This window comes from Homo sapiens, chromosome 6, assembly GCF_000001405.40.
Source record: "Homo sapiens chromosome 6, GRCh38.p14 Primary Assembly".
Lineage (NCBI taxonomy): Eukaryota > Metazoa > Chordata > Mammalia > Primates > Hominidae > Homo > Homo sapiens.
In genome coordinates, this window is record NC_000006.12 from 76693243 (window position 1) to 76706528 (window position 13286).

At 36.8% G+C, this 13286-nt stretch overlaps 1 long non-coding RNA gene across 1 annotated transcript in view, besides 1 other annotated feature; it reads right to left on the reverse strand.

Annotated features, from left to right (window-relative positions):
* Positions 1–1123: 1123 nt before the first annotated feature.
* LOC105377861 (uncharacterized) overlaps positions 1124–13286 on the reverse strand; it is a 32911-nt gene continuing 20748 nt past the window's right edge. Inside the window, exon 4 of the long non-coding RNA XR_942697.3 lies at positions 1124–6894. This is a non-coding gene — a long non-coding RNA (uncharacterized LOC105377861). The remainder of the gene's footprint in view (positions 6895–13286) is intronic.
* Positions 10253–11082: an enhancer, noted in NCBI's record as "OCT4-NANOG hESC enhancer chr6:77413212-77414041 (GRCh37/hg19 assembly coordinates)". NCBI's record gives its function as "activates a minimal SCP1, AML or CMV promoter by ChIP-STARR-seq in primed H9 embryonic stem cells {active_cell/tissue: H9 hESC(primed)}" and the evidence as "EXISTENCE:reporter gene assay evidence [ECO:0000049][PMID:30033119]".

Consider the following 13286-nt stretch of genomic DNA (forward strand, 5'->3'; position numbering starts at 1 on the left):
TAAGATAGTAAGATCTTCAGGAGAAAAGAAATGTGTAACAGGACAAAATAAGGTTCCCAAGATATCTTCTCAGTAAATACATATTCAATAACTTGCTATATGGAAAATTTGCCAAAATAAATATTTTGAGCAAATCTATGTTACTACTGAATTCTTTGCCAGTTGTTTAATCTCTTGTTTTGAGAAAGGAGCTTGACACAGGTGTTTATAATAATAAAATGCCAGTCTTCATTCAGACTAAATCCTTTATTCAACGTCTATCTCAGATATATCTAATCTTTTTGAGGTTCAGGCAAATTTTCTTTCATTTTTGAGACAAGACAGCATCTCCCTGTGTCACCCAGGCTGGAGTGCAGTGGCACAAACATGGCTGACTGCAGCCTCGACCTCTTTGGCTCAAGAGATCCTCCTGCCTTAGCCTCCTGAGTCGTTGGGACCACAGATGTGTGCCACCATACCTGGCTAATTTTTTTAAACTTTTTGTAGAGACAGGGTTGCACTATGTTGCTCAGGCTGGTCTAGAACTGCTGGCTCAAGCAGTCCTCCCACTTTGGCCTCCTAAAGTCCTGGGATTGTAGGAACGAACCTCTGTGCCTGGCAAATATTTTTAATACCAATCATAACAAGAGTGTAATACATTGATTACTTTTTAAAAAATGATTTTGATGTTAAAAAATTACTGATTTTGAAAACACACACTAAACAATAGGTACACTTTAGGATGTCCAAAAATTGGCAAGAGAATGATTTACAGCTTAAGTATCATATTTTCCATGAAAACTTCCCTGACAACAAAACCTGTAGATAACTTGTTCTGTGATGTCAGAGAAGAAAGGAAGCAGTAGGGTCAAGCAATGGAATTGATATATAGTTAGGGACAGAAAATGAAATACAAGACAGTGACAGAGACCAGGTGGGAAGGCAGAATGGTGTGATGATTAAAAGTACTAGACCCCTGACTCAGACTGCTGGTTCAAATCCCAGCCTTCCCACTTTGTGAAGTTGACAATTTAGTTAGCCCTCCTTTCCCCCACCATGTCTTAGTTTTCTCATATATAAACAAACATGATACTTACCTCATTGGTTACTATGGGTATTAAATGAATTAATAGGTATAAAGTACTTAGACTAATACCTGACATGTAAGTGTCTTTATTAGCATTTCAAAATTATTAAAAGAAAAGGATCTCTAATATACCAGGCACTTTACATACCTTGATTCATATGATTCTTTCAATAACGGAAATATAAATCGTATTATTTATGCTCTACAGATGAGAAAACTGAGGCTTAGACAGATTATATAATTTATTTACAGACAAGCACATTGTGAGTGACAAAACAAATACCCAAATAGGGTCAACCCAAGTAGGACCATTGCACTTCTTTGCTTCTAACTCTTCAGTGATTCCCTACATGGAGCAAGGAGGTTCAGGTGAGAAAATGCCAAAAATGCAAGTCCCATTACAGCTGGCCTTAAGGGATATAAACAGCTGCTTATATTCAGATTGTGTCTATAGGTTTATTTTTTTGCATTGTGGACTTTGTACACAAATCTTTTCAGTTGTGCAGATTAACTTGAGATAAGTATCAGTCAGGCTTCTTACAGTCAAGCACTGCCTGACTGAAAATAGGGGACCTGTGGCAGGGGGTGAGTGCCCTCAGAATTGCTATGCAGTCTGGCTCAGGCAGGCTTCTTGCAGACTGTTAGCTAGCATGTGCCTGAGGGAGGTTGGGAAGCTTGGCCAAACTAACACCAGAGAGGGTTGCTGACCACTCTCCCTATGCTACCTCCCGCTGGTCAAAATGAATGTGTGTTGGACTGTGTAAACTGAAACTGTGAAAGATGTGTCAGTGATTGGTGGAGTGCATCCTGAAACACCAGCTTTTAACATTTGTCTCATGATTTCTCATAAATAACATTGCATATGAGTATAATGAGCATAATTCTTAGTTTTCCCAGGAGGGTACTGGTTTATGCCTATTGTCCCAGTGTATATTTATCTATAGCACTGGCTTCAATGCACAAAATTGTCCTGATTCCAATGACAAATTCTACATACCTGCTACATATAATGATCATTCTACATATCTGCTATATATAATGATCATTCTACATATCCGTTGTCTATAATATTTTCTGTCTCCCTTTCTAGCTATCTCTTCTTTTGGTCTCGTAAACATGATGAGTCCCTTTCTGTGTATTCATTTATCTGCAAACTATTTTTTTTACTTTTCAATTATTGTTTATTGCCTACTTAAACTTGTTTACACTGCTAAACTGATATGTTTATCTGTGAAAATTATTCGAGCATCTCCAGTTGGAATAGAATGCATTATAATTGTTCCCCCTAAAATTAATGGAAATGTATTTTTCATTTAATAATTTTTCACTTGTCAGCAGTGTTTTCAGGAATGAATTAAATGTGTTAAATTAGGGACAGCTTTATTTCTGGTACCTAGCACACTGTGGGCACTCAAAGAATGAATATTAATTAAATGCTAAATGAATAAATAAATGAATCCACAGGTCCATGTGTATCTTTACAGCAAGAATTCCAGCAGACTTCTGTAGACTTGTTACTGTGTTTTGTATTCATTGTCTTCTCATGTAAACACATTATATTACTCATTGTGGTTGTTACTTTGAATTTCTGATGATTCTCAATGCCCATGTTACACTGTAGTAAGTATTACTTCTCTTCACCAATATCTGATTCTTTTCTACTTCTGGGTACATGTGTGGATCACTATTCTCTATTTTATTGAAGTTAGGCGTGACTACATATCTTCCCTTAAAAGATGAAGTGTGGCTATATAAGCAGAACTGTGGATAAGCATTTATTGATGGTGTTCAACTCTCCACACTGCCTTTCATCTGCTTTCCTTGTTCACAGAAGCACATCGTAATACAGAGGTAAAATAAGATCCAAGCAACTTGGAGCATTAAACCAAAACAAGGAGGAGAGGTGTTCTGGAGAACTGCTTGAAACTGCAGTGGACTTTGCAACAGCAGCAAGTAAAGTGGTGTTCTGGCAGTGAGATTTGAGGATTGCTTGTTAAAGAAGTGTAACCTAACCTGTCTTAACTGATACACACGTGGAATACTGTGGAGATTCAGTTAAACTATTCAAGTGCATTTTATAATTATAGATTGTTTTCACCAATTAGGTCTGAAGACAACATTCCTTAAGAATTTGGACCTATGTTTGTTCACACATATATGTCTTAGCATTGTAACTCTATAAAGCAAGAATCCTGGAGACTTAGAAGGATGCGTACAGGTTGTGTGTCTCATGACTTTCTTCTACGACTGTAAAATTGGGATCTAGAAAGTGAGGAATGCCCTGCTCAATATCACATAGATGGCTAACTGTAGGGACATAAGTAGAGTCTAATGTTCTCATCTATATATTTAGTGTTATCTCGGTTACATTTAACTATATCTCATATTCATGATAATTCTTTCAACCACAAGCCATAGCACTGGAAATTTCCATCAGAATATTCAATATGGATTGAAGCTAAACACTAAACTTAAATGTTTGTTAAAAGTTATACTAGAAGAGGAGACAAGATTAGCACTTAATACTCATTCAAGTTAATAGAACCAGCCAGCAACAGTAATTCATAGAGCTCAAGGAATGAAATAAGAATTAGAGGCATTTGGTAGAGAGAAAGCTTGATAATCATAATGAGGTGCAGAAAATAGAAAGAATTGATCTCCAAGGGAGCCCCCTGGAGAAGTGCCAGCAGCTGAGGACCTTGGGGCCTACAGAGTGCAGTCCACTGGGCAGAAAGTCATGCAGAAATAGGGTCAGGGAGGGGCAGAACATGCAATCAAAAGGCTAAGTATGGTAGTTAATTCCAAGTTTTGATAAAAATTAAATCACTTATTGGTTAAATAAATTCACTATAATTAATTATTACCCATTGGCATTAAATCACATATCTTTTTTGTTGTTGTTATATATTCTCTTAATTGGATTTCCTTTGGGCACATGTATCCCTCTTTCCAAACTGCATTAGGCAATACTTCTATTACAGATGCTTTCAGCAGTTGGCAGGAGGCAAGAGGTAGGATTTCTAAAAGACCTATGATTTCATTCTGTTTTTCTGTAAGCTAAAAAAAACAAAACAAAACAAAACAACAACAACAAAATCCCGCACCTTGCCAACTAGTGTCCTTTTTGACACCAAGTTTAACTAATATTACATATCTGAAAACCACTAACAATTTTTCCCCAGCCTATTTTATATTTAGCCACAAATTCTTCACATATTTCTACTGGGATTAAAGAGTTATCAGCTATTGGGAAATCTTAGCATATAGCTCATTACAACGGAATATATTATTATAAAAATTTAGGAAACTATATTGTTTGTAGAAAATGTACAAAGATACATATTAGCATATATTCCTGCTCCAGCATTAATTCTAAAAACATTTGAGAAATAGAAAAATTTGCTATTTCATTTATGCCCCTGAAGGTGGCACTGATGATACTGAAACTTTATTGGTTTGTGCAATGTACCTGCAAGGGTTAATCTGTGAGATCTGGCCATTTCCTTTGATACCAGGGGGCACTGTCCTATTCTCAGGGTGTGATCTGCAGGAAGGGAGTGGAATTTGTAGAAACCGGTCTGATCTGGATTATCTGTCTCTCCATCTCACCAGCTCCCATAGTTTTAATTAAACTCAGTGTATAGTAATCTCTTATACTTAATAAAGCAGTTATTGCATTTCTTATTTCCTTCTAAACATTTATAAACTTCTATTCCAAGCTCGACTTTAGCATCAAAATGCTTTTGTAGGAATTTTGAGAAGAGACAGCAAAATATAGTGTCAAAGATATGAAAAGGAAGTCAACAGAAAAAAATGGCCCCTTTGACCTGAGCTGTGTGGCATTTTATTTAAACAATAGTGGGTTACTAGGAAATGTGGCCAATATTATATATGCTAGAAAATGACCAGAATAAATCACTGCCTTTCCACAGAAGTGTGGTACTCTGGTGTATTGAAGGGCTTTGTGCTCAGATGAGGTCAACAGGTGAAACTCGGCTTTTAGCATTGCCTTTGTAATTATGTGACCATTACTTTCCCTGACTCTCTATTTTTAGTCATAAAACGGGACTAATAATACCTAAATTAGTGAACATATGTGCAGAACCTAACAAATAGAATGTGTCCTCAATAACTTCTAATTAACCTCCTCATCCAATTCTGCCAATAACCGTTAATATTCCTTGAAATATCTTGCCAAGAACATTCCTATTTGTATGATCAATAATACTTGGAAAATATTAAAAATCTTGAATAAAATAAAGCTTAAAATCCCAGTAAAATTTAGACATTGGAAGGTGAATGTTTCTAAAAGTGCAATCATAACTGTTCAAATATTTCAAAATATAATTAATATAAACTTTAACAACCACAGAGACATTTGCTAAGAAATGAATCTGTAAGTCACCACAGAATGTTGACACTGCTTAGCACAGTCCTTGACACACAATAATTGCTTGTTTAATATGAAGTTTAGTTGCTAAGTAATCACTTATTGTGTTCAGCCCATTCAAGTGAAAAAAACTGATAGAGAAAGTAAGGAACTGACACAAATGTATCCAGCTTATTGGTGTTTGGGCTGAAACTAGCAGTAGATGTTAAGCTTTTTGGTTAGATGTCAACTATGAGCCCACGACTGCTGAGCACTCAATTATAAAAAGGAGAAGGGATTTCTTTCTTTCTCCAAAGTGCTAATGTGTAAAAATAAATATGCATTTTAAAAGTCAATCCTTGCTTAGTGTGCAAGATTTTGGATGGTATGCAAAAGTAGTGGAAAACACAATTAATTTCAGAGTATTAGTATTATGTGGTGAGAGAATACACAAATACTAGAAGATTTTTTAGGTTGGCAGACAGCATAAGCAAATGATGAATTGAGCATGGGTTGAATATGATTGGAGGTCATGCATTAGCTATGGAGAAATGTGAAGCATGCCCACCCCAGTATGTCTGGTTTTCTGTGTTTCTGAGAAAGGAGATCATACTGTTGGCATTGGAGGTACTGAACAGATGGAACAAAACCTCATAGGATCTCCTTTCTTTTCATAAGAAGCAACTATAATGGACAGGAGTGAACTCATATTGGATCTCATTAATAAACCATAGAATGTTGAAGCAACAGAGCCCAAGGATTATAGTACTATAGGGAGCAGTTATTAAGAATGGAGAGGTCTCTATGGTGTCCCACATGGAGTCTTCATAGTCAGCTGAGATGAGTGACTTCTCCAGAGAGTTTCAGTCTGTCACTGCCTTGTGCTTTTTCCCACTCCTACACGGGGCTATGTTTGCTCAGTGAAACCATGTTGTCCCTCTTTTAATCAGTTGTTTGTGAATGACAATGTGGAGTAAAAAGGACTTCTCCAAGCTGAGAGATACAAGGGATAGAAGAATCAACTCAATTTCTGCTTGACTTGATTTCTTTCTTTTTTTTTTAATTTTATTATTATTATACTTTAAGTTTTGGATTTCAAGGAACGGAGTCCACAGGAGAGAGTCAGATTCCTGTTAGAGCAAAACGCAAAAAGAATGTCTACAGAAGTGGTTGACATTAAAGTTTCTCTAATGACTAGGCTTTCACTGATGATTGACCTTGAGTTCATAGATGAATTAGAAAAACTTTCAAGAGACTAGTCATAAAAGAGGACAGACAGAGCCAGATGGAAATATAATCTGCTGGAGATGAAGGATGTCCAGTATTTCTTGGTACAAAAATGATAAGAATGAAGACACAAAAGTTTATCTTAAGTTGAGAGGCTGAAGGAAGTATCTAGAGGGCAGTAGGTCTATTTTGTCTGAACGTGCAGATTCCTTCTTCATTTCTGACATGGAGGCTTTGAGAAAAGCAGAGAAAAAATACAAAATAAATACATGAATTGAAATATTTATCATTTGATGGGTAAAATGCTTTATAAAATCATATATATTTATATATGTATACTAAAGATCATACTGTATATAATTTTCTATTTTACCTTATAACTTCTACTTTATATCATAAATATGCTGGTAATTATTCTTCTCAGCCATAATTTTTAAATGAATGTATGTAGATGTAGAGTAATTTATTTAACCATCCCTTTATTGTTGGAGAGTTAAGTTGTTTCCATAAGTATAGAACACATAAATTTTACCCAAGCCATATATCACTGAAAATACATTTAGAAATGGAGTTGTGAACACTGGGGAAGGTGCCAGTATTTACTGTCAAATTTAAATAAGTATTTTAGATTTAAGACTCTTTAGAGGCAAAAAATTGAAATGAGATCTATAGAAGTCACACTCAGAATGGTTCGAGGTTAGTTATTGCCTTACTCTTTTTGGGAGTCAAATTTACCTTTACATCTAAGAATGGTCATTCCAAAGAAAATGAACCCCAAATTCTGCATAGATAGGTCAGGGTCATAAGTGAAAGAGACACTGTGAATCAGCAGTATTTGGAGTTCAGAGATGCTGACTTCAGAAGTTTTCTGATGGTCTGTGGAATACGTAGGAATTTTAAGTGGAGAATGCATTTACTTTTTATTCCCCCATTCTACCTCCGGGAGCTACAGGGCTTTATTATAGACCATGTAATTGGATCCAGAAAGGAATACATCAGTGATGGTTTTGAGTTATATTAATTCTTTGGGACCCTGGGATACAATTTAATACCCGGAAAAAAAATGAAAATGAGTGGCATGCTTGTCATTAAGATTTTTATGAAAGTCTATCTCCAAGCCTTAACTCCTCAATCATTACTATAGGCTATTTATGAACAGAATGATAAACCCGTGCATTAACATAATTGGGTTTAGGTGGAATTTGTGAAACATTAATAAATTTTATCTAGATTAGACTTATATCCTCTCTATATGGGGGTTTAAATTACTGAATTTGCAGAAAGATCTCATCTCCATATGTTATTAATAAATGACTAGTTCTCAAGCAGGGGCAATTTTGGTCTTCTCCTTTCTAAGAGATATTTGGCAATATTCATGTATTTGTGACATGTTTAGCTGTCACAACTGGTTAAGAGTACTACAGGAATCTAGCAGGCAGAGGCCAGAGCAGCTGATGAACATCCTATAATACACAGGCCTATCCCAACAATAACAAAAATTTGTCCAGTTAAAATGTCAATAATGCTGAGGCTGAGAAGCCAGGCAATAAGCAGTCCTGTGTAATAGCTAGTGCTCTGGAAGGTTCCAATACCATTTTAGCTCATTACATTATTTTAGGAAATCTTAAGCCTTCTCAATAGGTATTGGAATGTCTTGTAAGTTTTAAAATATATTTTGTGCTTTTATATGTATAGATGTCTTAATCTCAGTCATAATTGATATGTGAAAAGTAGGAGGTGAGCTTGCCCCTCCTCAACACCTCACTTACACAACGTATTTTTCTGCTTACACATAATGTATTCCACAGATTGGGAGAAGAAAGGGGTTCTTCCCCCATGCTTTCCAAAACATAGACTTTAACTTTCTTCCTTGAAACAGTGACCATACCTACCAGCAGAGGCTTCTTTATGACTCTAAGAACAGCAGGCAGATTCACAGCTGGAAGCAAAATGCTTTCCTTGGAAAAATCTTTTCTAATAAATTGTGCTTTGTCCCTGACAGGACAGAAAACGGTTAAAGTAGCAGAAACAGCTTGCCCCTGGCTGGTGGGGAAGGAGGAGAGCCTAAATTAACATTCACTTCTCAATCCTGACTCGTTTCTTTTACTTTCTTTCTTCCTCTCATATCCTCAGGCTTTTAATGCCCAGCCTAGGTGGAAATTAATGACAAATCTTGGCCAAAAACTTTCAGGATAAAATTCAGCCTCTCTAGGGACAACCCACAAAGCTTTTCATTATCTAGCCTCTGCTTGTCTCTCCCACTTCTTATCTGTACTGGGTTCCAGGCATAAGCCCTAAAGCAGTGATTCACAAACTCAGGTGGACATTGAAATCAAAATGGGTGGGCATTAATGTAAAACATTTTGGGAACACTGATATGGAGTCTCTGGATCCATATTTTCAATAAACTCCCTAGGCAAATCTGATAAACCTCACTGGAATTCGCAATCCATTGCTTAAGTATGCCAGACCTTCCCATAAGTCTTTTCCTCTGCTTGAGCTCCTCCCTCTGGCTAGACTGTACTTTTAACCTCTGTGTAGTTCTTCCTGAACTTTCCAGGCCAACTTAACCACTCCCACTTCTCTCCCCATAACATATTGCTTATGCAATAAGCATATTGCTTATTGATATGGTTTGACTCTGTGTCCTCACCCACATCTCATCTGGAATTGTAATTCCCACATGTGAAGGGAGAGACCTGTAATCCTCACGTGTGAAGGGAGGGAAGTGATTAGATTATGGGGGCGGTTTCCTCCTTGCTGTTCTCATGATAGTGAGTGAGTTCCTAGGAGATCTGATGGTTTTATAAAGGGTAGTTTTTCCTGTGCTCTCACACACTCTCTCTCTCACCTGCTGCCATGTAAGACGTGCCTGCTTCCCCTTCCACCATGATTGTTAAGTTTCCTAAGGCCTCCCCAGCCATGCGGAACTGTGAGTCAATTAAACCTTGTTTCTTTGTAAATTACTCAGTCTCGGGTATGTCTTTATAGCACTGTGAAAATGGACTAACATGATGTCTATTATTAAAACAAATGGAATAATACATAACAATTCATTGTGCTACATTCTTTTCCTGGGTAGTTTGCAAGCTCCTTAGAGGATAAATATTTCTTAAAATAATCAATACACAAAATACAGTTCACAGCAAACTAGTCATGTTGGTCATCTCAAGCATCACACTGAAATCCTGCGGGTTTCAGTTTCTAGCTGTAGAAAAATTAAGAAAAAAAATATGTATATATATTCTGACCAGGCATGGTGGCTCACACCTCTAATCCCAGGACTTTGGAAGGCTGAGGTGGACAGATCACTTGAGGTCAGAAGATTGAAACCAGCCTGGCCAACATGGTGGTAACCTGTCTCTACTAAAAGTAAAAAATTAGCTGGGTGTTGTGGCAGATGCCTGTAATACCAGCTACTTGGGAGACTGAGGCAGGAGAATTGCTTTAACTCAGGAGGTGGAGGTTGCAGTGAGCCGAGATCGTGCCACTGCATTTCAGCCTGTGTGACAGAGCAAGACTACATCTCAAATATATGTAATATTTCCTAAGAGTAAACTAAGCCTTTAGTTATTTATGAATCACTTTGTTTTTTATTCTTTTCACAGATCAAAGGTGACTATTCACATTAGAATTTACAGAAAGATCTGAATACCTGAGGAAATATATGAGTAATAAATAACATTAAATAATAAATAATAAAATGCCTATGTAAAATGATAGATACACACATATATCAATGACTGGAATGAAATATACCAAGATTGCACAGTGAGATTAATTAAATTTAAGATGGATTTGCATATTGTAAGAACAAATGCAAATTAAAAGTAAGAGGCTTAGTTCTCCCTGTTAAGAATGAGGTAAGAGCTCTCTCCCCTCCTTTTTCTTAGAGCACTTATCTTAGAATATCTTAAATACTTTCTTGTGTCTTTGAAATGTATATAAATCCTTTTGAAGACTGGATAGGACTTTTGTCACCTCTATGACCTAGGGACATCTTTCTCAAGAACATGGGAGGGATTTCTTTGAAATGCAAACATCAAGGGAGATAGCACCTCTATCTCTCAGTTTCTGTGGTTAAGGTAGGAGCCTAACTTCAGCTGGAGGATTGCGAAACTACCTCCTCTCATATAGAGATGAGGAATTTGTTTTTCCTCTGGATACAGCTAATTAGCTAACACAGATGGTCACCTCAATGATCAGGTAAAGTGAGGATGGATTATGTGTGACAAATGTTCTTGTCAAGGACTAGTCATTGTTTATCTTGAAAACATGTATGTAATAGGTTGTATCTGCTTGTCTACATGAAAGGTTGAGATTTCTGTCTTTGCAATCTCTTAGTGGATTGATGGTGATGTACGTCACAGTCTGGCTTAGTGCTTGTCAATAATAAAACTTTCTGTTTTTGTTTTCCACTACTACTTTTAAGGAGAGGATTTCTGGGTTGGAAAAAGGCTTTGTTTTTAATTATATTTCCCAACAATATTTCTGTTTAATTCATACGTGTTATGTAATGAACTGCTCATTTAAATTTAAATCAAGAAATTTTCTTAAAATATTTTTGCTGCATGCCAAGAACAGCCTTTTGTTCTTGAACTTTTGAATTAAAAGATATCAAGAGAAAGAAAGTATGGCAGGCCAGGGGAAGGAAGGACAATAGGAAGAAGGTGGACAGTCAAATATTTATTTAATATAATTTGAATGCTAAGTATGTGTGATGTGCGGTGTGAAAATGTGGGAATAACAATAGAAATCCTGGTGCCTCTGCAGCTCAGAAAATAATACCCCCAAATGAAGGCCTCAGCAGCAGCCACAGAAGCAAAAGTTTTTCCCTGACCTTCTCTTGCCCTCCTGCCCCTCAGTCTATTCTCCCCGAAGGCTAACCATAGAAACTAGAATTCCTTTTCCCCAAGGATTTTCGTAGAAACCAGAATCCCTTTTCCCCAAAACCAGCCATAAAACCTAAAAATATTACTTTAACTTTCCTTCTGATTTTCTGTGTGAAAACTGGCCATAAAGAAATTATCTGACCTAGTTGTTTGACTGTAGGTTCTGAGACCCCCATTCCAGAAAGGGTCCCGCACCACCCCCAGAGGGAAGAAATGACGCTCAAAGAGGCCAAGAAGAATCTAGACAGACTGGCCTTGCTGGGCTTCCAGACTCCGTCTATTTGTATGAGATTATGCCCTTTTTGTTTAATCATATTTTTACACAACTGTCATATTTTTACACAACTGTTTTTTTTGAACCTAAGCATAAAAATAGACAATTTCTCTTGTATCTTTGGGTCACCATTCTGAAAGGTCCCTTGCATAGATGTTAAACAAAATTGTTACATTTTCACCAATTAATACGCCTTTTATGAGTTTGTTATTTTTTTCAGCAGAACTTCAGAGAGCCATCTTGGCCCCTACAGTGCCCAACTCAATCCAGAAGCCCATGGTGACGTTAGTTTATATGCACAATGTTGTACAACTGTCACATCTATTTTCAAAATATTTACATCATTCAAACAGAAACTCAGCATCCATTAAGCAATAATTTTCTATTCTCTCTCTCTCTAGCCTCTCTTAACCTCTAATTTTTATGTCTCTGTGAATTAGGTGCTTATAGATAATTTCATGTTAGTGAAATCAAACTACATGTGTTGTTTTCATTGTCTGGCTTATTTCACTTAGCATAATGTTATCAAGGTTTATCCATGTTGTAGCATGTATCAGAATTTCATTCTTTTTATTGCTGAATAACAGTCCATTGACTGTATTTATCATTTTTATTTTTGCTGGAATCTTGCTCTGTCACCCAGTCTAGAGTACAGTGGCTTGATCTCGGCTCACTGCAACCTCTGCCTCCCAGGTTCAAGTGATTCTCCTGCCTCAGCCTCCCGAGTAGCTGGGACTACAGGTGCCTGCCATCATGCCTGGCTAACTTCTGTATTTTTAGTAGAGATGGAGTTTCACCATATTGTCCAGGTTGGTCTCAAGCTCCTGACCTTGTGATCTTCCCGCCTTGGCCTCCCAAAGTGCTGGGATTACAGGTGTCAGCCACCGCACCCTGCCACTCACATTTTCTTTATCCATTTATTTGTTGATGGACATGAGTTATTTCCAACTTTTGGCTATGTAAATAATGCTACAGTGAACATTTGTGTACAAGTATCTGATTAGTCCCTGTTTATAATTCTTTTGGGTATACACCTAGGAGTGCAATTACTGGTCGTATGGTAATTCTATGTTTAATTTTTTGAGTGACCACTAAACTGTTTTCCACAGCAGCTGCATCATTATACTGTCAGCTACATATGAAGGCTTCAGTTTCCCCAAATCCCTGCCATTACTTGTCATTATTCATCATTTTTATTGTAGTCATCCGAGTAGGTGTGAAATGATACCTCATTGTGGTTTGGATTCTCATTTCCCTAATGACTAATGATGTTGAAAATATTTTCATCTGCTTATTGGCCATTTGTTGATGTTCCTTGAAGAAATGTCTGTTTAAGTACTTTGCCAATTTTTAAATTGAGTTGTTTATATGTTGTTAAGATGTAGGCATCTCTACATATTCTACATGCAAACTCCTTATCAGATCTATGTTTGGCAACCTGAGCAATGTTTTAAGGGA